General features: G+C 41.5%; 1 long non-coding RNA gene across 3 annotated transcripts in view, besides 1 other annotated feature; it reads right to left on the reverse strand.

The window, feature by feature from the left end:
- LINC01331 (long intergenic non-protein coding RNA 1331) overlaps window positions 1-24,189 on the reverse strand; it is a 209,330-nt gene extending 185,141 nt beyond the window's left edge. For 2 of the 3 annotated variants that reach the window (NR_197435.1, NR_126354.2), the window contains exon 1: window positions 24,086-24,189. This is a non-coding gene — a long non-coding RNA (long intergenic non-protein coding RNA 1331). Of the gene's footprint in view, window positions 1-17,825; window positions 17,978-24,085 lie in introns of all 3 variants that reach the window. The other variant, NR_197436.1, reaches the window with a different exon arrangement.
- Window positions 3,418-3,977: an enhancer, noted in NCBI's record as "NANOG hESC enhancer chr5:73811827-73812386 (GRCh37/hg19 assembly coordinates)". NCBI's record gives its function as "activates a minimal SCP1, AML or CMV promoter by ChIP-STARR-seq in primed H9 embryonic stem cells {active_cell/tissue: H9 hESC(primed)}" and the evidence as "EXISTENCE:reporter gene assay evidence [ECO:0000049][PMID:30033119]".
- Window positions 24,190-25,069: the final 880 nt, after the last annotated feature.

The following is a 25,069-nucleotide window of genomic DNA, read 5'->3' on the forward strand; positions in this document are numbered from 1 at the left end:
TCTAGCTCTATGTTGATTACCTTCTGAGCCAGTTTCCAGAGTGCCAAGCGCCCTTAGTTATGATGCCACAGGTTCATCTCTTACATTCATATTTTACTATAAATCAATGGGTCTCTCAAAACAGAGATTTAAAGGGGTCTCAGAGCTTCTAAATCGTTAGAATCTTTTAAAATACAACTGGTTTCCCAATCAGTGTTCAGAAATGAGAGCTCCTCAGTGGATTCCAGCTAAAGATCTGCCAAAGCCACTTGCAGTTTAGTGAGAACTGAGCTATCCTTTCATCAAATAGCCTGGCAATTTAGCAAAGTGTGATGACATGAATAGATAGACTCATTCGCATCTTATCTTTTGAATTCTGCTCAACTGCCCAAGTTGAAGAGTGTGTAACTTGAGCAAGGGCAGGCATCCTTAACTTGAAATTTCCAAATGCCAAGGAAAAAAATTTAGAATGTCCTTGATATGTATGGGGGTTATTTAAAGCACTCAATTGCTCAGACAACTAAAAGGTCCATTACAGGCAGAAATAATTTTTAAGTTAAGTTTGAGCCTGTTCAAGTAGAGCCTCTCTCCTAGTATTTGTCACTAATAGTAAGTGTCCCAGCTAATGTACATAATGCTTGTTTTAAATCTTCTCACTCTATCAACATGTAGTGAAGAAAAGCTGTTAGTCCATCATAGTTGTGCTGACCAAAGCAATCATTCTAGTAAAATCATACTGCATTTTTGTTTGCTCAAAGCCAATTTTTTAAACACCTTATTTGTGTAAAGAACCTTATAAATACAGAAACAGTTTGTTTTAGATAAACAACAATTCTCACTGAGAACTATAAATTTAGTATTAGTTGGCAAATAATAGTAGGCATATGAATTATATATATGAGAGAAATAGGTTTAAAAAATAGATTAGCCACATTACTAAGGGGCTTATACATTATCATGAAAATATTCATCTTGAAGGATTATTTCAACTGGGCTGCCATTTTTTGGAATCATTTTGGAATTATTGTTGTCATTGCTTTCAGAGCCATTTTACATGAAGAAGATAATATTAGGATATTACAATTAGGCCTACTTTTTTTACTGAACCTGACTCCTAAGGACTGTGGATGGTCTTTGAGAATCAATTTACCTTCCAAGCATAAAGACTTTTCCTCACTGAATACAGTCGGAGAAAATGACAGAGGGACAAGGGGGAATTTTCACTCCACTTTGGAGCTACTTTGAAAGGGCTAACACTCACTTACTTGGAAGAGTATGCACTGGTGTGTTGTGTTGTTGAAAAATAAATTAGGTCCCTTGCTTCATGGTTTCCCTCTGTCCGTGCTGAGAATAAGGGAGCTCTCCTAGCAGACTAGAGTCTCCCACAGAGCACCGTTTCACAGGACTGTGAACAAGAGTGTCACAAAGGATCAGAGGGGTTCCTACAGGGCATGCTGCCACTGTGGAGCTAAAGAACAGCTTTCTGGGGCTCCAGCCTTGCTTCAAACCAGCCTTGTGGGGTACTCCTGGAAAAGGGACTCTTCTAAGCCTTCTCTGCTTGTTTACTCACCATGCAAAATTGAACCTCCGGTGTGATGGAGCCCAGCATCCCCTCACCACTTGTTTGGGGCCAAAAAGAAACCCAGGACCAGGAGGATGAGGTTACCCAGTGCCCTGCAGATGGATCAAGAGTTATAACACAGGTCGGAGAACATGCTTCACAACCTTTAACTAGTTATTACAGTAACAAAAAGAACAGCCTGGAGAAGCTACTAAACAAAAATAGTGCAGTCTACCTTGAGCCAAAGTGCCCAATCAGGGGCCAGGAAAGGGGCAAACTAAGTGTCCTTTGTTTTCCAGCCAGGATAACATTCAATTTATAACTGTCCCAAGGACAGAGTAAAAAGTTCAGTTCACAGGATCCATCATGCCTTCACAGTAGTCTGTTCCCTCATCTCAGGATTTTAAAAACTCCCAAAGGCACAATCCCAAACACATACCAAAGTCTTCCCCTATGAGTTCTTGCTATTGACTCCTCAACTCATGGCCCATTACTACCTAGAGAATAAGAAATGGATTTGTCCAAAGATTTCCACCCCAGTCTATCACTCTCCCAGCCTACGACTCTATTTCTCCTTTTTCCCATGGCTAGTCACATAAAAGCAGTGGAGGAACATCTCAGGGTTCAAGGTTAGGCTAACAGACACTGTTCTCTGCAATTCAGTTAACGGGACTTGCGCTTTCAGCATGAACCAGTTTCCTTCCATGTCCTCACGTTTCCACTCTGCCGCAGCCCCACCAGAGGATCATGCTCCTTTCCAGCAAGTTCATCTACTTCCACTCCAGGCTTAAATTGAGCACTCTCTGAGCTGCCTTAGTCACAGAAAGCAGGGACCATTCTGCTCGGCCATAGGTCCACTTCTAGGCTTTACACTCCTACACCTCCTTCCTAGCCTCTTGATCCCAGGCTGGACAACATGCCCTGGATTCTGCCACAGAAAGTCCTCCGGGGAGACAGCCAGGGAATAGAACAACTCCTGAGCTTCCCAAGCTGCCTCCTGTTCCCAACACAATCATTCCTCTGTCTGCTCACTGGCCCTCTATAAATTCTTCTTTGCAAATTTCACAGTTTCTTCTCCTAGGAATTAGCCTTCAACATCACAAACAGGAATACCCCAAATAAATACAGGTCACCAACTATTCCATCCAGTGAATATCCCAATCTACACAACCTACCCACACAAAGACAGGCACTTGTGTACTTTGCCCCTATTTCCTGGCATGTTTTAATTCCCAAAACATCCATTGATAAATATTTGTGGAGAAGCAAGCCTCTGGATTTCCCTCCTGATCTGACAGCACACTAAAAAGCATTAGGTTTAAACCCTAATGATGAATACATCAGTAACTCAACAAGACGTTCCATAAACATTGGGATTATATTTATTTATTCCACTGGTCACCACGAAGGTCATGCTATTCTTTCCCTCCCAATGCTAATTCCCCCACTTTGCAAACACACCTGCCACATATTTCTCATCTTGAGGCCTATAGGCTGCACACTTCTTTCAAATATGCCTTGATGCTCTCCTACAAGATATGGCTACACTGCTTATATAACACAGAATTGAAGCCTTTATACCCCAGGCTTAGAGCCTACATTTGCTCTGGGCCAATGCTACTCAAACCACAGGGTAGATCAGAATTACCTGGAGGGCTTGTTTTAAAGGCAGATTCCTAGGTCCCATCTGCTTTGGATCTTAAGAATCTCCTTTTGTAACAGACCTGTGATTCTAAGAACCACTCTGAAAAGCACTCGTATTTGGTGTCTTAGGTGTTTTAATATATTGTAAATCTCTTGAGGCCAAGGCTCACTCCTTGTTCTTCTTTGCATCTTCCATAGGCTTTAGTACAGCTTCCAGGACACAACAGGCCTTTAATAAATTTAGGACATTTAGGACTTCTTATCACTTACAGTATGTTACATTGATCCTCCAACATTATCATGCCTTTTGTAAGAATGCTAAACAAGGAGCTGTTTAAGAAAAAAACAGGTGTGTTTTGAGGTGGTGTGTGTGCAGGGATGATAAATTCATCTTCCCACACTTGCTACTCTCTCTTCTCATAATAAAACTCCATGTGTGAAGCCTGGCCATTACCTTCTCAGCAGGAGCTAGTGAAATGTTAACTTTTAGCTAGCAATTAGTCGACAGACCCCCAGATCACTTATCTATTTTCCCACTGTTTAATCTCTGTCCTCAGAGATGCACTTCTCACATTCCTTTAGAATGACCTGGCTCTTGAAAGCACAAATGCCCAGCCCTAAATCCAGCCATCCAGCTGAGGGATTTGTAAGAACCACTATAACCATCCTCCTCCTCCTCCTCTTTCTTTTCCTCCTCCTCCTTGGGAAAATGTAAAAGAGCCAGTGTGAATCCTCACTCCAGTATTTCCTGGTTATTCCTAGCCATAGCATGTGACATGAGCGCAGATGGATTACCCCAGGGACACCAGTGTCCATCCCAGGATCCAGATAAGAAGAGACAACTCACTCCCAGAGGCATCACTCAAGCCTGGGAAAATGTTCATAGGTGTATCTGGTTTTTTTAAATTTGATATAGTTGTAACACTTCAACTTCTACTAGAACCCTTATTCTCCAATAGCTGGTGGATATTTTAAGAATACTAAAATTTGGGAGGTTCTTTTACTCCAAATTTAAAGAAACAATAGGAATTTCAAAGTCTTTTTTGTTTTTTTGTGTGTGTTTTTTGTTGTTGTTCTTGTTTTTGTTTTTTTTGAGACAGAGTCTCACTCTGTTGCCCAGGCTAGAGTGCAGTGACACAATCTCGGCTGACTGCAACCTCTGTCTCCCAGGTTCAAGCAATTCTCCTGCCTCAGCCTCCTGAGTAGCTGGGATTACAGGCATGTGCCACCATGCCCAGCTAATTTTTTTGTGTTTTTAGTAGAGGCAGGGTTTCACCATGTTGGCCAGGCTGGTCTCAAAATCCTGACCTCAAATGAGCTATACTCCTCGGCCTCCCAAAGTGCTGGGATTACAGGCATGAGCCACCACGCCTGGCCTGGAATTTCAAAGTGTTAATACACATAACTGAGCATTTTACAAAGGAGTCCTAATGATTCTGTATAATGCATTACATTATATATAGGATTGAAGCCAACATCTATTGATTAATTATACCAGGCACTATTGTAAGCCCTCCATACATAGTGACTTATTAAAACAATACAACAATCCTTGTATGGCAGATGCTATAATTATCCCCATTTAACACATAGGGAAATGAAGCTTAGAGAACGTAGGAACGTTATACAGGATGCATTTAAGCAGAGCCAGACTTCTCTGAACACTATGCAGTCATCTACTATGTCCTACTGCAGCAAGGATCTCCAGACCAAAAGCCAGAGGGCTTACCTCTGTCCCAAATTCCTGCAATGAAACACAGTCTTTGGGAAGACACGTTCATTTTAAAGAAGTACCATGTTTTTCAGACAGGGTGCAACTGACATTCTGATTAGGATATTTTTTCATTGTATAGTACTGTCTAGAGTATTAAAAGATGTTCAGCCTCCTTAATCCCAGGATATTAATTGCCAGTACCACCACACAATCATTGTACAGCCAAAAATATTGACAAGTAACTCCTGGGGACAGAAGACACCCCTTGCTTAGGATACCTGGAAGGGACAAAAGACAAAATTTCACTTCAGTACTGTACTGTGTAAGCCAAATAATTTGTTTGAAACTCATGACCTCCCAAGGATGGAAAATGAATGGAGCATAGATCAGCCATGTTTTGATGGGAGAAGAGCCAGGGACAGGCTTAATGTTGGTTTGATTCACCAGCTGCATGAGTAATGGAAATGCTGGACATTTGTATTACAAGGCACAGAGGAAAGAACATGAGTGTGAAGGTCCCAAAGATGGGGCTTGGAATCTGATGAGGGTTCACAATTTGTCAGCACAAATTAATTTGCCTCTCCAACATCTCAACTCCCTCATGTGTAAAGTGGGATGATAATACCTACCCCACAGAGTAACATTGAATGAAATAGCTGATATACAAGTAACTAGAGCTCTCTCTGCTGAGGACAGAAAAGCTCTAAATAAATTTGAATCCCCTTCCCCCTTCTCTCCCTTTGGCACTGAATCAGTGGTCATAGACGTGGGTTCCAGTCCTGCCCTGCTGTGTGACATCAGCCACCTCTCTTCACATCTCTGGACCTCAGGTTCCTTGCCTGTAAGAAGAAATGAAATTAAACTGTCTCTGAGCAAACTTACAAGCTAAAACTATGATCAGAACTGGGTTGGGAGGGGGGTGGTGTGGGCACGTGGAGATCCATGAGCCAGGGCAGGAAGACAGAAATGTGAGAGCGCAAGAGCAGCCACCGTGAGCAAACCCCTGCCAGGGCCCCGAGCTCCAGGGACACGAACAGCTCCAGCACTCCCGGAAAGCACTCCTTCAGGCCTAATCACAGGCATTGATTACTTCAATGTAGAAACTGCCATCTTAGCAGGATGTCCATCTGTCTCTGCCTCCGCATCAGCTCCTGCCAACAGCATCTCCCCTCCCCAGGTTTTTCTACCCTCATGGTTTTTCTACCATTGCCTCATGGTTTTTCTACCCTCCATGCTACTTCTGTTCCAAAATCACCCCTTCCTAGCTGGGCGCAGTGGCTCATGCCTGTAATCCCAACACTTTGAGAGGCCGAGGTGGGTGGATCACCTGAGGTCAAGAGTTTGAGACCAGCCTGACCAATATGGTGAAACCCCATCTCTACTAAAAATACCAAAATTTGTCGGGCGTGGTGGTATGCACCTGTAATCCCAGCTACTGAGGAGGCTGAGACAGGAGAATTGTTTGAACCCGGGAGGCGGAGGTTGCAGTGAGCCGAGATCATGGCATTGTACTCCAGCCTGGGCAACAGAATGAGACTCCATCTCAAAAAAAAAAAAAAAAAAACCCTTCCTCTTCTCCAGTGCCCACCCTGTCCCACCCCATACTTAGGACACTCTTCTCAGGACACTGCTGGAAAGACTGAGTCCAGTGAAACACTTAGTGCTAAGATGGCAATGATGACGACACCCCCAGGGCATGCCACACTCCCTGCAGAGCTGCCCCTGGAGCTGCTCTCAAACATAGGTGTGGTCCTGGGCTGTCTTCCTGTTTGCAGCTCTCCCAGCAAATCAGAAGGGCTGAAGCCCTTGGGACTCCAGGAGGCCTCCCTGTCCTTGCCCCGCCCCCCAGTCACGATAAATTCATTTACATAGTAATAAGGGGAGCTGATGGATTTACTTTCTTCAGTGACACTCTCCCTGACTGACCGTGCCGGCTCTGCCAAGTCACAGTGTTCTGTGGCCTTGCTCATCATAGCACAGCGCCTTCATCTGAGCACTTCTTGCTTTGTTCCTAAGGGGAAGTCCCAAGAAGTTGGGGTCAGGGTCAGGAGAGAAAAAGGGAATGGCTCACAGTCATTATAGATTCCCGGTGGTGAATGATGACCACAGCCCTGGGACAGACGAAGCTCCCATCCTAAATACAGGCGTTAATAGGGCTGAAATGCACTGACACCCCGAATCTTAGATATTGCCCATCCTGAGCTCAGAGGACATTTCCAGTCAGGAGATATTTAATTATACATGCAGTTTGCAGGTTCAAAGGGGGCTGAAACCCCAGGCTGTCCAAACTGTGAAGAGGCCTAAAGATCGATTAGTCCAATCTTCTCATTTGTACTGGAGGGAACCGAGTCTCAGGGAGGTGGAATGACTTGCGCAACCCTGCACAGAGGTAAAACAGAACAAAGACCAGAACAAGGCTCTGGGACCAGTGCTCCTTCCTCCAGACCAGGCTCCCCAGACCAGGCTAACCTCCTTGGCCAAAGCAAGGAAAACAAGCCCTGGCCCTTAGGCTTGTGAGATTGGAGAGAAGACCTGAAGAAAAGCAAGACTAAAGGAGAATCTTACACGTGAGTTCTTTCTCTGTCTTCTTTTGGTTATTCTGTTTTCAAGGGAATTTTTCTTTTGGAAAATTATGAGACTATTTCGGGCTAGAAGATCAGTGTGATCACATGATCTGGTGACAATAATTGCTTAGAGGTAGGGAAGATGGGTAGGTGAAGGGTGGGGGTGGGGGGCAGGAGGAGGAGGAAGAGGAGAAGGAAGAAGAAGAAGGGCTAACACATAGCATTAACTATGTACTTCTTACGTGCCACAAGCTTTATAGCCACCAATTCATCTGATCCTCAGAATTCCACGAAGTAGATACTATTAGCATCTCCATTTTACAGATGAGAACACTGAGGCACAGAGAAATAAAAGTAGCTGGGCCAAGTCACACAACTAGGTAGGTTTCATTATAAATGAAAATTGGGCAGACTGCTCAGCATACCAAAGGATACTTCTAATTCCTTAATTAAACTCATTTCAGAGAGCTTCCATGTGTCTACACCTTCAGGAAAAAGAACCTTCTAGAATTATTTTTATTCCAGAAAGTAAAACATCAACGTCAATTTTGGAATCTGTTTAGAAGCCCTAAATTTTTCAATGACTGTCCTCAAACTAGTCACCAGGTAAAAGAATTTCACAAAGGCAACTGCTCAGAAAGGGTCTCAGAAACATGACCCCTGCTCACCACATACACACCCCACAGAGAGGGCCCTTGCTCTTCAGCCTTTACTTCAGTGAGATGAGGTCTCTTTTTGAGCCCCTAAACTTCTACTTAGTGTTTTCTGCATTGTTTCTTTTTGTTTTGTTTTGTTTTGTTTCGTTTGAGACAGAGTCTTGCTCTATCTCCTAGGCTGGAGTGCAGTGGCACAATCTTGGTTCACTGCAACCTCTGCCTCCCAGGTTCAAGAGATTCTCCTGCCTCAGCCTCCTGAGTAGCTGAGATTACAGGTGTGCACTGCCATGCCTGGCTAATTTTTTGTGTTTTTAGCTAATTTTTTGTTTTTTGTGTTTTAGAGACGGGGTTTCAACATATTTCCCAGGCTGATCTCAAACTCCTGACCTCAGGCAATCCGCCTGCCTTGGCGTCCCCAAAGTGCTGGGATTACAGGCATGAGCCACTGTGCCCAGCTGGCATTGTTTCTTGAATGTTCATGGAGGATACTAAATTTATGTTAAAAATGAATAAGTTCAGAAAGTCCATGGAAAGAAATGTGTTTCTTTTGCTTTTTTTTTTTAAATTTACCATCTACAAAGTAGGTGATGGGTGTTCAGTCTCTTCTAAAGAGTTGGCAAGTTTACCCCTTAAAAACTACAGACCACAGTGAGGAATCCCCACTTTAACCCTATAGTGGACCTCACACTGCAGTATTAAGTAAAATACTTCTTAATGACTATTCCAATAAATATGCCAATGTTTTCAGATGGTCTTTAAAGAAACCCCTGGCCACTCCCAGTGTCTGTTCTGCACTCCCCATCAGCACCATGCACAGCAGTCCCTTGTTCTTCTGTCAGAGGGAAACTAGTACGATAAGAGCCTTGTTTCTGATAAGAATATCTGTCACTGACAAAAAAAAGGCAATGTGTTTTTTATTGAGCTGACCCCCCCACACACAAAAAGCAATACACAAAATTCATTAATTATAAGCCATCCTCTGTCTCAAGCGCACACACACATTTGCATTTTCAAAAGCTCCATTCTGCCTATTTGAAAAAGCTACATTCTGGTTTTTCTGAGCTAGTGAGGAAATAACTGCACCTAAAGGTACCGCCAGCATTAACTCTCAGGGCACAAGACATATATTTAAATGGCACAGGCTCCTGAGCTTCGTGGGGAAGGATGTTCACAGGGAGAGGTGGCACTATCCTTGACTCTCACCACTGTAAAAACAAATGTCAGCTAGGAAGAGTGAAGGCAACATCTGCATTTGTGGAGAAGATCCTGCTTTTTGTGCATTTGTGACATGGCATGAATACCACCTACATGGAGTTTTGCTGAATTTTGTGACTGTGTATGAATGAAAGAAAATATCCTATTTAGAATAGCTCATTCTCCCTGGAAATATGTATTAACTTTTCAAACAAAAACAATTCATCAAAGCCACTTCTTCAGATGTGCTTTGTGTGCACCAAGACAATTCCTGTGTTTATATTTGACATGATGCAACATCTTATAAGAATTATTTGTTTTAAAAGAACAATGAGGGCAGGCCTGTTCTCCCCTGTGCAAGAGGTGTGTAGTGTGTTCTAAAAGGCTGGAGGGTGTGCTATGTGTCTTTGTCACACTTAGGATTTGGAAAATGGGAAAGGTGAGGAAAGTGAGGAATCCTACCTGGTGAGCCCTGGCCTAGAATGAAATCTAAAATCTTCTACACAACTCATTCTGGTTTGTTGTTGTTGTTTGTATTGTTTGAGACAGAGTCTCACTCCTGTTGCCCAGGTTGGAATGCAGTGATGCAATTTCAGCTCACTGCAGCCTCCACCTCCCAGGCTCAATCAATCTTCCCCGCTCAACCCAAGTAGTTGGGATTACATGCGTGCACCACCATGTCTGGCTAATTTTGTGTATTTTTTGTAAAAACAGAGTTTTTGCCATGTTGGCCAGCCTGGTCTGTCTGGCTCAAGCAATCCACCTACTTTGGTCTCCTAAAGTGCTGGGATTACAGGCATCAGCCACCACACCTGGCACAACACATTCTTAACATCGCCCTTTTACCTGTTAAATCTTACAATTCTATATTGTGTAATACAATTATCAATAAAATGGCATGCCCCACAGTTGTTAATGGCCCACACTGCAAAGTGGGTGTGTACCTGTCCTATTCAGCCACACCATGTGATATGGTTTGGCTGTGTCCCCACCAAAATCTCATCTTGAATTCTCACATGTTGTGGGAGTGACCCAGTGGGAGGTAACTGAATCATGGGGGCACATTTTTCTGTGTTGTTCTCATTATAGTGAATAAGTCTGACAAGATCTGATGGTTTTAAAACAGGGAGTTTCCCTGCACAAGGCCTCTCTTTGCCTGCTGCCATCCACGTAGGACGTGACTTGCTCCTCCTTGCCTTCTGCCATGATTGTGAGGCCTCTCCAGCCACATGGAACTGTAAATCCATTAAACCTCTCTCTTTTGTAAATTGCCCAGTCTTGGGTATGTCTTTATCAGCAGTGTGAAAACAGACTAATATAGTAAATTGACACCAATAGAGTGGGGCATTGCTGAAAAGATACCTGAAAATGTGGAAGCGACTTTGGAACTGGGTAACAGGCAGAGGTGGGAACAGTTTGGAGGGCTCAGAAGAAGACAGGAAAATGAGGGAAAGTTTGGAACTCCCTAGAGACTTGTTGAATGGCTTTGACCAAAATGCTGATAATGATATGGACAATGAAATCCAGGCTGAGGTGATCTCAGATGGAGATGAGGAACTTGTTGGGAACTGGAGCAAAGGTGACTCTTGTTATGTTTTAGCAAAGAGAGACTGGCAGAATTTTGCCCCTGCCCTAGAGGTCTGTGGAACTTTGAACTTAAGAGAGATGATTTAGAGTATCTGGCAGAAGAAATTTCTAAGCAGCAAAGCATTCAAAATGTGACTTGGGTGCTGTTAAAGGCATTCAGTTTTAAAAGGGAAACAGAGCATAAAAGTTTGGAAAATTTGCAGCGTGACAATGCAATAGAAAAGAAAATCCCATTTTCTGAGGAGAAATTCAAGCCAGCTACAGAAATCTGCATAAGTAATGAGGAGCAGAATGTTAATCACCAAGACAATGGGGAAAATGTCTCCAGGGCATGTCAGTGACCTTTGCAGCAGCCCCTCCCATCACAGGCCTGGAGGTTTAGGAGGAAAAAATGGTTTCATGGGCTGGTCCCAGGGTCCGTCTGCTGTGTGCAACCTAGGGACTTGGTGCCCTGCTTCCCAGCCACTCCAGCATTGCTGAAAGGGGCCAACGTAGAACTCGAACCATGGCTTCAGAGGGTGCAAGCCTCAAGCCCTAGCAGCTGCCATGTGGTGTTGAGCCTACAAGTGCACAGAAGTCAAGAATTGGGGTTTGGGAACCTCCGCCTAGATTTCAGAAGATATATAGAAATGCCTGGATGTCCAGACAGAAGTTTGCTGCAGGGGCAGGGCCCTCATGGAGAACCTCTGCCAGGACAGTGTGGAAGAGAAATGTGGGGTCAGAGCCCCCACAGAGAGTTGCTACTGGGACACTGCCTAGTGGAGCTGTGAGAAGAGGGCCACCAACCTCCAGACCCCAGAATGGTAGATCCACGGACAGCTTGCACTGTGTGCCTGGAAAAGCCACAGACACTCAACACCAGTCCAGCCTGTGAAAGTAGCCAGGAGGGAGGTTATACCCTGCAAAGCCACATGGCAGAGCTGCCCAATGCCATGGGAGCCCACCTCTTGTATCAGCCTGACCTGGATGTGACACATGGAGTCAAAGAAGATCATTTTGGAGCTTTAAGATTTGACTGCCCTGCTAGATTTTGGACTTGCATGGGCCTGAGCCCCTTTGTTTTGGCCAATTTCTCCCATTTGGAATGGTTGTGTTTACCCAATGCCTGTACCCGCCCTGTATCTAGAAAGTAACTAACTTGCTTTTGATTTTATAGGCTCATAGGTGAAAGGGACTTGCCTTGTCTTGGATGAGACTTTAGACTGTGGACTTTTGAGTTAATGCTAAAATGTGTTAAGACTTTAGGGGACTGTTGGTAAGGCATCATTGGTTTTGAAATGTGAGGACATGAGATTTGGGAGGGGTAAGGGGTGGAATGATATGGTTTGGCTGTGTCCCCACCCAAATCTCATCTTGAATTCCCACATGTTGTCAGAAGGACCCCATGCTGTTCTTCTCATGCTGGTCTTTCCTGTGCTGTTCCTATGACAGTAAATAAATCCCACAAGATCTGATGGTTTTAAAAAGGGGAATTTCCCTGCATGAACTCTCTTTGCCTACTGCTATCCATGTAAGATGTGACTTGCTCCTCCTTGCCTTCTGCCGTGATTGTGAGGCCTCCCCAGGCACATGGAACTGTAAGTCCATTAAATCTCTTTCTTTTGTAAATTGCCCAGTCTCTGGTATGTCTTTATCAGCACGTGAAAATGGGCTAATACGCTGTGGCTGCTGATAGCTTTCCCAGCTATAATGGTGAATTTATGGGAAAACCATAAGGGAAGCTCAAGCCCAGGCCCCTCTCCAGTTCATCTTTCTTTGTTCCTTAATGAGGGTTACATTCCAATAGCAATATAAACTTCTCCCCTTCAAGTTCTGATCACTCCATTCGTGTTATTTAGGAGGAAAACTTTAAGTCTCCTGAACCATTACTCTGCAGAAGTTTTGGTCTGAAATATACCAATTCTGGTCAACATTTGCCTAAGCAGTGTCCATTCCCCCACTGAGTTGTCAGCAATAAGCAGAGAGATCTACTGAGGTACCAACATAGGGCCTTGGCTTACAGTAGGTGCTCAAATAATAGTTATGGAAATGAAGGACATCAGTTGTCCTCTAATGAGAACAATATCATCTTCTTTGCCTCTGACAAGCACTTATTGGAAAAAGAGTCCCTACAGGGCTGGGTTTGCCCAGAATGTCAAAAAGAATGGCAGTTGAACATTCTGAAAACAGCTTGCTCTGTTAAGAATATGACATTCATAGAAATGGATGCATCTGTACATGGTTGTAAAACTGGGGACCATCTTGGTGTTCTTTATCATTGAGATGTGTGAAGGAATCTCATCCTTAAAAACAACAGAACACAAAAAATATGGACGAGTTTAGCAAAGGGATTAAGGGCATGGGCTGGATTTGAATTAATTGCTGTCGGACCTGAGGACAAGTTCCTGAACCTTGATAAATCTCAGGTTCATCTACAAAATGCAAATAATAGAATTACCTCATGAGGTTGTTGGCAGGATTAAGTGAGATCACATGCTAACAAATAATAAATGTAACCTATTAATCACAGTGATCTTGATGGAATAAAATAATCCAAGGGACAAGACAAAAATTATCTCAGAAAAGAACTGATTCAGGTTGGAAGGAATGAGGGCCTCAACCAATATCAGCTTTCACCCACAGTTTCTCCTCCTGCCAAGAGAGGGGTTCTTTACTTGGGATCTACAGAGCCTTCTGGCTCCCTAAAACTGGACACAAACTTTTGTGCATATGTACATTCTTTTAAGAAAGGAGTCCGTAGTTTTCATAAGATTCTCAAAGGAGTCTGGCACCCCCCAAAATTAGAAATCCCAGCCCTGGGCTATATCAGACTCTTACCACAAGTCTTGTTTTCTCATCTAAATGTACACAAAGCTCCCTTTCTTCTCCCTCTTTTGGTTCAGCTGACATATGGTGGGCTTTTCAAAAGAATTTTGCTAAGATTCTAAGGAGAAATTAGAAAGGGAAATAAAGCACACACAAAAGCTAGGTGAACATCAAAGTACAGCACACACTAGTGATTCTAAGATTCTGCAACAGCATAGCTACACATTGGCTGGGCCTGCTACAGGTGCATAAGCCTAGACTTTTTTCCCTCTCTTTTGTCCCTTAGAAGACTTGCTGCTTTCTTTTATTTAAAAGATGAATTAATTTAGAGACTGTCCTATCTTCTTAGACTTCTTAATATACATTCAGACCATTGCTTGTCTCTTAAAATAACCCCAAATGAGAGTTTACTAAAAACCAAGAGAGGCTGAAAATTATTCAATCTCTTTGTGAGTAGGTGATTGGAAAGTGATACAGAGGTGATCAGAAAGAAAGAGAAATTGGGGAGATTCAGAAAAAAGAGAGAAAAAAATCAAGGTTTAGCCTTATATTATCAATAAAAGGGTTTGTTTTGATAAGGAAGCATGCCGTTACCAGTCATTAAGGACCTTAATGTTAATAAGTTTCAGAGGCTTCACTGAATAATAGATTCTTTTCCTGGTACGGAGAAGTCAGAACTAGGTAAGGGATACAGATTCCTGTAGGGAAGTGTTAGATCCCTGAATATGCTCTCCTCCGCTTCCCTTATCCTTAAGTTTGAATAGGTGAGGGCCTTCTAGAAAGGGGAGGCAGGGAGGGAAACATGAAGAATAAGGAAGTTTCTGAAAATCATTCACATCTTTTTCACAATCACTTACTGAGCTTTTTTAATTGGGTGCTAGGCTCTGCATGAGGCCCTACAATGTAAGAAAGTGAGTAAAACCAAGGTCATGTCTTCAAGAAGTTCTTAATCCAGGAGAAGATATAAGTGATAAGCAAATATCATTCAAAATGATAAGCATATTATCATTTGTGATGAGAAGTCCAAAGAAAAATAAGGTTGGAGAAAACACACCTCATGTTAAAAACTAGATTGCCCTGCTTTAAAATTATCTTTGGGATCTGCCCTTTCCTGTCTACAACGACCCCATGTTCTTCCTAGATCCATAAGCCAAAGCTGACATGAAATGATGTCCTGGAATCAAAGCATTTTATGGTAAAGTACAGAGATGAGGTGGTCTGAGCATTTTGAGTACCTCTTTTCTACTTCCAAGGAAATGAGGAAGAAGAAAAGGGAAGTTGTTCTTTTTCCCCATAGACTTTTCCCCAATAGAATGAAAGTTCTCCCTTGGAACTGTAATTTTTCCCTTTGCTTCTAGAATGCCATGTTCTGCAAAACTGAGTTTTACCAGTAACTACTTTGCCAGAATGTAAAGAAATCTCAGGCTGTGAGCTCCGTAAAAGTAGGCAAAGTATGGTCACACGGTCTGGTGCCTTAAACTACCTTGGCACCAATCAACTCAATAAACAATCTTGAACCAGATGTTACTTCTGTTTCCTAGTCCTACTTCTGCCACCAAGGAAGCCAAACACTTGTTGTGTGGACCCCAGTTCAATTCTAAACCAAAACCATTCTCTCCACTGTCAGAGGAACTTTTCAGTGCGTCACTGAAAGATGGAAATCTTGCAGGAGGCAACAGGTGTGGGGAGGGGGAAAGGGAACAAGACAGACCAGCCCTGGGGGCCACCAGAGGGATAAAGGAGTGAGCAGAGGCAACAGCACTTATATTGGCAGGAGGCCTGGCCTCTTATGTCTGAACTTCTTGGAACTCTCACCAAACCACGGCCCACCATGCCCAGCTTGTCTCTCTCCACTAGGCTCCAGGCCCACCTTTCAGACCAGGCCTGCCCAGGTGGAATCACCAGCCTGGACCACGTTAGTCAGCATCTTAGTTGGTAGACAGATGTTTCCTCACTGCTGCAGCAGCAGAAGAGCCGTTGCTTGTCCAAAGTTAGGAACTGGAACCAAAGCTGAGCCCTCCAGCTAACATACACACACACACTCCTGCCCCTCTCTCTATACTCCTTATCTCTGGTATGGATCCATTGTTCTTTTAGCTCTCCATACCTGACAGCAAGGGCTCACATTTCACCCTTCCTCATGAATAGTCCATCTACTGAGTAGTCCAGCTCCTGGAAACTCAAGCCATCATCCCTTCTTGCCTAGATTACTGCATCTTCTCTAGGTACCCTCTCCCTCCTTTGAATCTTGTCCTCTCTCCCACCCTTTTCCAAATAGTTCACCATGGAGCTGCCACAAAAATAATATTAATCTGTTCATGCTTAAAATCATTCAGAGGCTTTCCAATGCCTAGGGAATAAAGTTGGGATGCTTCTGATGTCATATAAGACACTTTCTAGGCCAGGTGCAGTGGCTCACGCCTGTAAACCCAGCACTTTGGGAGGCTGAGGCGGGTGGATCAACTGAGGTCAGGAGTTCAAGACCAGCCTGACCAACATAGTGAAATCTGTCTCTACTAAAAATACAAAATTAGCTGGGCACGGTGGCACATATCTGTAATCCCAGCTACTTAGGAGGCTGAAGCAGGAGGATAGCTTGAACCCAAGAGGTGGAGGTTGCAGTGAGCTGAGATTGTACCGTTGCACTCCAGCCTGGGCAACAAGAGCAAAACTCCATCTCAGGAAAAAAAAAAAAAAGACACTTTCTAGTCCACCCATCTCTCTAGCCTCTCAACGACCTCCTCCTACCACTATGCATGTGCTGTGCTCCACCCATGCTGAACTTCTTGCTGTCTCCCAAAATGAAATAGTTTCACCATTTAAAAACAAAATGAAATTTACTGAAATGATTTGAGGGTTGAAGTTTGGGAAAAGGCAGGAACAGTGGACACTTGGGAGGAAAGTATAGCAAGAATGTTCTAATAGGAACAGTCCAGCAGGCCTGCCACCTTGCAATGAATTTCCTCCCAGGCTTCGGTCCAGCCTTGGATCAGGAACAAAGTTTCAGCAAAAAGCATCTGAGCGGTACACCGCAGCTTCGTACCATGGTTGTACCGAGGTCAGCTAAAGGAGAATGTGATTCATTCAACTCCCTAGTAGAAGGAAGCGACCCCTACATTACCTCCTGCCAATAATACAACTATGGAGGACAGGTACAGGAAGAGGTAATTCTCCAAAGGAAGTCGGTGCAATATAAGGAAGGGGGTAAACTGGGAAGGGTTGGAGGTGGGAGGATGAAGAGAGGTTGGTTCGTGGGTACAAGCATATAGTTATACAGAAGGAAAAAATTCTAATGTTCCATAGCAGAGTAACATAACTATAGTTAGCAACAATGTATTGTATTATCTTAAAATAGCTATACGAGAGGTCTTGAAATGTCCCCAACACATAGGTATGATAAATGCTCAAGGTGATAGAAAGCCCAGATTTGATCATTACACCCTCTATGCATTTAACAAAATATCACATGTATCCCATAAATATGTGCAAATATTGTATATTAATAATAAAAATTTAAAAAATAAAATCATCATGTTAACATAAAAAAGGAAGAGGGTGCAGATGCTGGTCATCTGAAAAGTAATAATCATGTATGTCATGACCCTATTTTTCTCCATACTTGAAATACTGCAACTCCCCTTACTCTTACCTGCCACCACCACCCCATTTTGCCTGATGCATGGTTATTTTTCCACGAAAGGTTAGCTCTGACATTACCTCCTCTAGGAAGTCTTCTCTGACCTTCATAGACTGTGTTAGGGAACCCCTCACCTGCATATCTTTATCCTGTCTCTTACCATATGAATTAAAATTGTTTCTTTGTCCATTTCCACAATTATGTGTTAATATGGCCCCTTGTAACAAGGGGTCCTAACCACCAAGTGTAACGCTGGGAAAAAAATGTAGATGAACTTCAAATAACTCACTTAAAAATAGTGACCTGCCAAAAATGATTTTTTGGACTGCTTTACCAAACCATTTTTAATAATGGAAATTGATGTTTCTCTGGAAACCCCTTATATATTCTTGCATAATTCATGTGTCTTTATGCTGTTTCATGATTTGCATACTGCATTGCTAAGGGGATTCTAAACCCAAATTCCCCTGTATCCCAGTCTCACCTCTAGTTCCTCACTGATGTAATTCAGCACCATGTCATAACTGTTCTCCCAGAGCTGAAGCAAGTAAGTTCACTGAAATCTTGGTTGGTATTCTTAATCTGTAGGAATTTTCTATTGTTTGTCTTTTTATTGGCAAAGGATCTTAGTTTAATCTGTGGAAGATATAAACATATTAAAATATTTCTACAGCCATGTTGTGTGCTTTTGAGAATGACTCACTCATTTTTAAACCATGTTCCTTCCTAAATCACTCTGGCTTTTCTCCAGATCGATTTCTTTAGAGAATATTGCAAATTTATTACAAAAGGGGTTGCTAAGTGAATCATTAATGAGCTTAATAAAGTCATTTAAGAGAGAATTAATCTATGTTGAGTGGGCTTTGTCAGACACAGAGCCATTTTTAGGAGAATAATGCTTGATAGATGGGAAACAAAGGACAATATCAACATAGCAGTAGCGGTAATGGTAGATGTCTCAAAGATGGCATCATAGGAACTGCTGCTATTTTCATCCCCAGAGCCTGCCTCTGCAGATCAAAATGACATTGTAAGCTCATGCTTTGAAGTCGCTACCTGCACTCCAAACACTTAGCAATTATAAATAAAATATTTTAAGAACGAATTTAAAAGAAAGTTTTAAAAAAAGTAAACCACATGCCCATACATACATAAAGAAAAATAAATATCTATGTGCTAGAAACAGACCAGAAATATAACACAGTAGTTACTAAAGCTGTGAGCTTGTGGGCTCTGGAGACACACACAGATAGGCAAGATAACTCCTCTGCAGTATTGGGAGTAAAAGGGCCCTAGGTGGTTGGTGCCTGGATCCAGGCTTATTGCTTGAACCTAAATGCGGTGAGGAACTTCTGCCCTAAAAAAAGGTGCAGCTGTTACCTAAGGTTAGGGCTTATATAAATGTGCATCTAGAAAAGTAGGAACAAGCAGGTATGACCAAGACTTGGGCCAACCTGCCTCCTGATTCAGTGACTAAATCTGTAATATCTGAATATCATCGTAAGATAAAAGTTCAGGGCCACCAACATAAAACCAAGTTGTGGACTGGGGCCCTGTGACCAAGCAGGGAGGGAAAGGTATAGCAAGAAGAGAGAAAGTGTGTGTGATGCCACTTGAAATGTACATCACACAAGTTAAAATTCTAAAACAATTAAAGAAAACTAACATTAAGAAAGGGAGCCAAGAAAATCAATATTTGGGATACATTCATTCCAGAAGAAATGGAAATACAGGCATACCTCGTTTTATTACATTGCTCTTTGCAGACACTTTGTTTTTCACAAATTGAAGGTTTGTGGCAATCCTGCTTCAAGCAAGTCTATCATGCCAGTTTTCCAAAAGCATGTGCTAACTTTATGTCTCTGTCATAGTTTGAAAATTCTCACAATATTTCGAACTTTTCATTGTTATTAATCTGTTATGATGATCTGTGATCAGCAATCTTTGATATTACTATTGTAATTATTTTCAAGTGCCACAAGTCACACACACATACGACAATGAATTTAGTTGGTAAATGTTGTATACGTTCTGACTGCTCCACCAACCGGCCATTTTCCCATCTCTCTCCTCCTCAGGCCTCCCTACTCCTTGACACAGAACAATATTGAAATTAGGCCAATTAATAACTCTATAAAGGCCTCTAAGTGTTCAAGTAAAAGGAAAAGTCCCGCAACTCTCATGTTAAATCAAAAGCCATAAATGATTAAGCTTAGTGAGGAAGGCATGTTGAAAGTTGAAACAGACTGAAAGCTAGGCCAAATGATTAGTCAAATTGTGAATACAAAGGAAAAGTTATTGAAGGAAATTAGAAGTGCTACTCCAGTAAACACACAAATGATAAGAAAGCAAAACAGCCTTATTGCTAATATAGAAAAAGTTTGAGTGTCTGGATAGAAAATCATACCAGCCACAATATTCACTTAAGCCATTCTATGAAGGCTGAGAAGTGAGGAACTGCACAAGAAAACTTTGAAACCAACAGAGGTTGGTTCATGAGGTTTAAGAAAAGAAGCCATCTCCGTAATATAAAAGTGTAAGGTGACGCAGCAAGTGCTGATATAAAAGCTGCAGCAAGTTACCCAGAAGATCTAGCTAAGATCATTGATGAAGGTGGCTACACTGAACAACAGATTTTCAGTGGAGATGAAACAGCCTTCTATTGGAAGAAGATGCTATCTAGGACTTTCCTAGCTGGAGAGGAGAAGTCAATGCCTGGCTTCAAAGCTTCAGAGGACAAGCTGACTTCCTTGTTAGGCACTAACGCAGATGGTGTCTTTAAGTTGAAACCAATGCTCATCTGCCATTTGAAAATCCTAGACCCCTTATGAATTATGATGAATGTACTCTGCCTGTGCTCTGTAAGTGAAACAACAAAGCCTGGGAAACAGCACATCTGTTTATAGTATGGTTTACTGAATATTTTAAGCCCACAGTTGAGACCTGCTTCTCAGAAAAAAAAAAAAAAAGATTTCTTTCAAAATATTAGGGCTTATTGTCAGTGTACTTAGTCATCTAAGAGCTCCGATCAAGATGAACAAGGATATTAATGTTTTCATGCCTGCTAACACAATATCTATTCTGCAACCCATGAATTAAGAAGTAATTTCAACTTTCAAGTCTTACCATTTAAGAAACACATTTTATGAAGCTATAGCTGTCATAGATAGTGATTCCTCTCATAGATGTGAGCAAAGTAAATTGAAAATCTTCTAAAAAAGATTCACTATTCCAGATACCAGTAAGAACATTTGTGATTCATGGGAGGAGGTCAAAATATCAACATTAACAAGATATTGGAATAAGTTGATTCCAACCCTCATGGATGACTTTGAGGGGTTCAGGACTTCAGTGGAGGAAGTAACTGCAGATGTGGTGGAAATAGCAAAACAACTAGAATTAGAAGTGGAGCCTGAAGATGTGACTGAATTGCTACAATCTCATGATCAAACATGAAAGAATGAGGAGTTGCTTCTTCTTACAGATGATCAAATAAGTAGTTTCTTGAGATGGAATCTGCTAGACCTGGTGAAGATGCTGTGAACATTGTTGAAATGACAGCAAAGGATTTAGAGTATTACATAAACTTAGTTGATAAAGCAGTGGGAAAGTTAGAGAATTGACTCCAAGTTTGCAAGAAATTCTACTGTGAGTAAAATGCTATCAAATAGCATCATATGCTACAGAATAATCTTCTGTGAAAGAGTCAATTGATGCTGCAAATTTCATTGTTGTCTTACTTTAAGAAATGGCCACAGACCTCCCAATCTTCAGCAACCAACACCCTAATCAGTCGGCCACCATCAACATCAAAGCAAGACCCTCCACCAGCAAAAAGATTACAACTTGCTGAAGGCTCAGATGATTGTTAGCATTTTTAGCAATTAAGTATTTTTTCATTAAGAGACGTACATTTTTAGACATAACGCTGTTGCATACTTAGACTATAGAATAGTATAAACATGACTTCTATATGCACTGGGAAACCAAAAAATTTGTGCGACTCACTTTATTGTGACATTTGCTTTATTGCATTGTACTGAAAATGAACCCACAGTGTCTCTGAGATATGCCTGTAATAGAATCTGAAAGTGAATTTACTATAGGGATTGTGGCCTGGGCAACGTGGCAAAACCCCATCTCTACTAAAAATACAAAAAAATTAGCCAGGTGTGGTGACATGCACCTGTAGTCCCAGCTACTCAACAGGGTGAGGTGGGAGAATCACTTGAGCCAGGGAAGTTGAGGCTGCAGTGAGCCAAGATTGCATCACTGCACACTGACCTGGGCAACTGGAATAAGACCCTGTCTCAGAAAAATAAAAATAAAATAAAATAGGGATTGTTAGAACCATCAAGGAGAAAAAGAAAGGAGGAATATTCATAAAAATGAATAGTAAATTGTGAACGAAAATAACTAAAAAATGAAACAAGAGCAGGTTGATATTAAAAGGGACAAGTTGGAAATTCTGGTAATAAAAACCATAGTATTTGAGTAAAAAACTCAATAGACAGGATTAACTCTGTCTTGGGTATAACAAGACGGAGAATTAATAAATTAGAAGGTTATATAGAGGAGCTTACCCAGAATGAGCAATAAAGAGTTAAGGAAGGGGAAAAAACATGAAATAGCAATTCAGAGACATGGAAGACATATTGAGAAGATCTAACATATGTCTAATAGGAGTTCAAGAATAAAATAGGGGAAAATATCTGTGAATCAATAGTCAAAGAGATACTATAAACTTTTCAGATGGAAGAAAATGATATATGTTCTCAGAAGAAAAGGTTACATACACCAAGTGCCAAAAAGAATACATAGTAACGAACCTATAACAGGAAACATTTTTCAGTGAAACTACTGAACATTGAAGGCAGAGAGATAATCTTGAAAGCTTCCAAAGCAAAAAGACAGCTGCCCTGCAAGGAAAAGACAATTAGACTAACTCTCATCTACAATGGGTGCCAGAAAACAGCAGAATAATCTTCTCACAGCCTTGAGGAAAACCAATTATCAACCAAGGCTTCTATACCCAGGTAAACTATCATTCACAGCAGAGTAAAATAAATCATTTTCAAGAAAAAAGACTGAGTGTGTTATCACTCACATGCTAAGCCCCAAAATTGAGAAATCATTGATAAATATGATTAACTATTTACTTTAAGTAACTAATGTGTGTTTTTAAAAGGTAAATCTAAAAACCTAGATAGCAATACTATGGGAGTGGCATTCAATGAATAGAAAATGCATGGTAAGTTCCTTAACCCTTTCAGGAATATAGAGATAGTTAATCATTCTACATTTTGTTAGAAATTTTACAATAAATATGCATGAAAATTTAGAGGTAATCTCAGAAAGTAAAAACTATAAAATAGAAGGCAGAGTCTTATAATGAACAGTCTTGAAAAATCTGTAGAACAGGACTTGAGTTGTGGAGATAACGGTTCAGTAAAGGCTGCCCATGGCCTGAAAAAATAAAATTTCCCAATATTTTTTCTTTGCTACTAAAGAAGAACTTAAGCACTAAAGAATCAAATGCCATGAAATTGAATTCAGATACAAATTTAAGTTTTTGCTTTTTAGTAACTAAAGGATTTAAAAGAGAAATTTAACATGGCCTCAACTCCTAAGTCGCTATTGATTATCAGATACAACATTTATGTAAAAAACAACTTTTTTCCTACTTGACCATTGATGAGAAGGTGCCACCTGATTTCCAAAACGTTAACATTTTAAATCGACAAAATGTATTAACTTACTTGACTTTGAGCCAAGTAAAATTGTTCTCAAGTGCCTTGGACTCTTCCAAGGAAGCTTATTAAAATGCAGATCCTGGGGGCACTCTAAGAGACTCGGATTCTGAAGATTGGAAAAGGCTAGAGATTTGCATTTTTAACAGATAGTTCTGACACAGATGATGGGAAGACTGCAAATTTCTGAAATGTTGACTGAGTAAAATCAAAATAGTAATAAAATTAGCCAGGCAGCCCTGAGGGAATCTTAACAGCAAACATAAAAATTGAGCCACCCATTCTGAAAGACATCCAGGTTGGAACTAGGAAAATTCTAATTAATGAGTTAAATACTTGTTGAATCCTAATCTAGAAATCAAAAGACCTGGTTTCTGTTCCAGTTCTGCTGGTAATTAGCTTTGAGACTGTGGGAGAAGTAGGGGGATTATTTTTCCTCTCTGGGCCCAAGTTTCCTCATCTATAAAATAAGGTTAAATTATTCTCTGCCAGCTTTAATGTTCTTTGGCTCTGTGAGTTCACATAATGGGATTGTGGGCCAGTAATTAATCTAATCTTTATAGATTCTTCGAAAGAAGCCCCCCGCCTTATTTCCCCAGGAGATGGCAGTGGGAAAGTACAGCATAGAGAAACCACATTAATGCTGCAGAGAGGCAGGTTCTGAGTGAGACACCAAATTGACCCTCAATATCTGACCTCCACCTTCCCCGTTACAAAACTTATTCTTTAAAAGCTTACCAAACGAATACAGCAAAGGATGGGTAAAGAAAATGCAGTCAATCTCTTCTAAATGCAAATTACCTTGGCAATTATGCAAGCAATTTAAAATAACAACGAGTTGCAAGCAAGAACAACAAAGATTTGATTCCCAAGCTAGAAACTTTCAATTCAGCCGAAAGCTACAAATCCTGGGAAATGCAGGCCCCCAGAACTGCATGGATGGTGGTAACAGAGACACGTAACAAAACAAACTTCAGAGAAAAACTAGACTTACCTAGTTCTTCTAAGAAAAATAGAGTTTTTCTTTAAAAGCGGTCTTTTGTGAGGCTTGGATTCCTCCAGCAATGAATGTAGAGCCAAGCTGTGAACCCAAAGACTGGAGCCCTACACACCTCCCCAGCTTTTACTGTAGAAATCTTTATTTGTTCTGGAATCTCTTTTATCAACACTTCACTTACTCCTACAGTGTGAACTCCAAACAGTCCTGTTTAAGAAACTATCTGCAAATACCAGAATGGCTAATCCTAAAAATAAGGTGTTAATTGGTCTCTTGGTGATTCCAACCCCAAACATAATAAACTAGTATTTCTTTTTAAATGTGGGGGTTTTGCCCCACTGCTAGTCTGAAGTACTGGGTCTTTCTTTTTCTGCTGCTTTTCAGCTTATGTTTTAGGTAAAAATAAAGAAAAAAGAAACTAGTAAGAAATACAGTGAATCTTTGTCTCTCTTCATCTGACAGTAATTATAGGATGTTAAACCCAAAGTAAAGCAGGTCATACTGTATCTTCAGGAGGAGCCAAATTAGGAGGCAAGCTTGTCATTCCTGAAGTCTTCCTTATGGACATAGGAATCCAACAATTTAAAAAAAAATTTTTTTAGAGACAGAATCTATGTCACCTAGGCTGGACTCAAACTCCTGGGCTCAAGGGATACTCCCTCAGCCTCCCAAGTAGCTAGGACAACAGTCAAGCAGCACCACACTGGACTTCTCAGGAATCCACCTTTTTTTTTTTTTTTTTTTTTTTTTGAGACAGAGTTTCACTCTTGTCACCCAGGCTGGAGTGCAGTGGCGTGATCTCAGCTCACTGCAACCTCCGCCTCCCTGGTTCAAGCAATTCCCCTGCCCCAGCCTCCCGAGTAGCTGGGATTACAGGCACAGGCCACCATGTCCAGCTAAATTTTTTGTATTTTTAGTAGAGACGGGGTTTCACCATGTTGGCCAGACTGGTCTCGAACTCCTGACCTCAGTCAATCTGCC

This window comes from Homo sapiens, chromosome 5 (assembly GCF_000001405.40).
Source record: "Homo sapiens chromosome 5, GRCh38.p14 Primary Assembly".
NCBI lineage: Eukaryota > Metazoa > Chordata > Mammalia > Primates > Hominidae > Homo > Homo sapiens.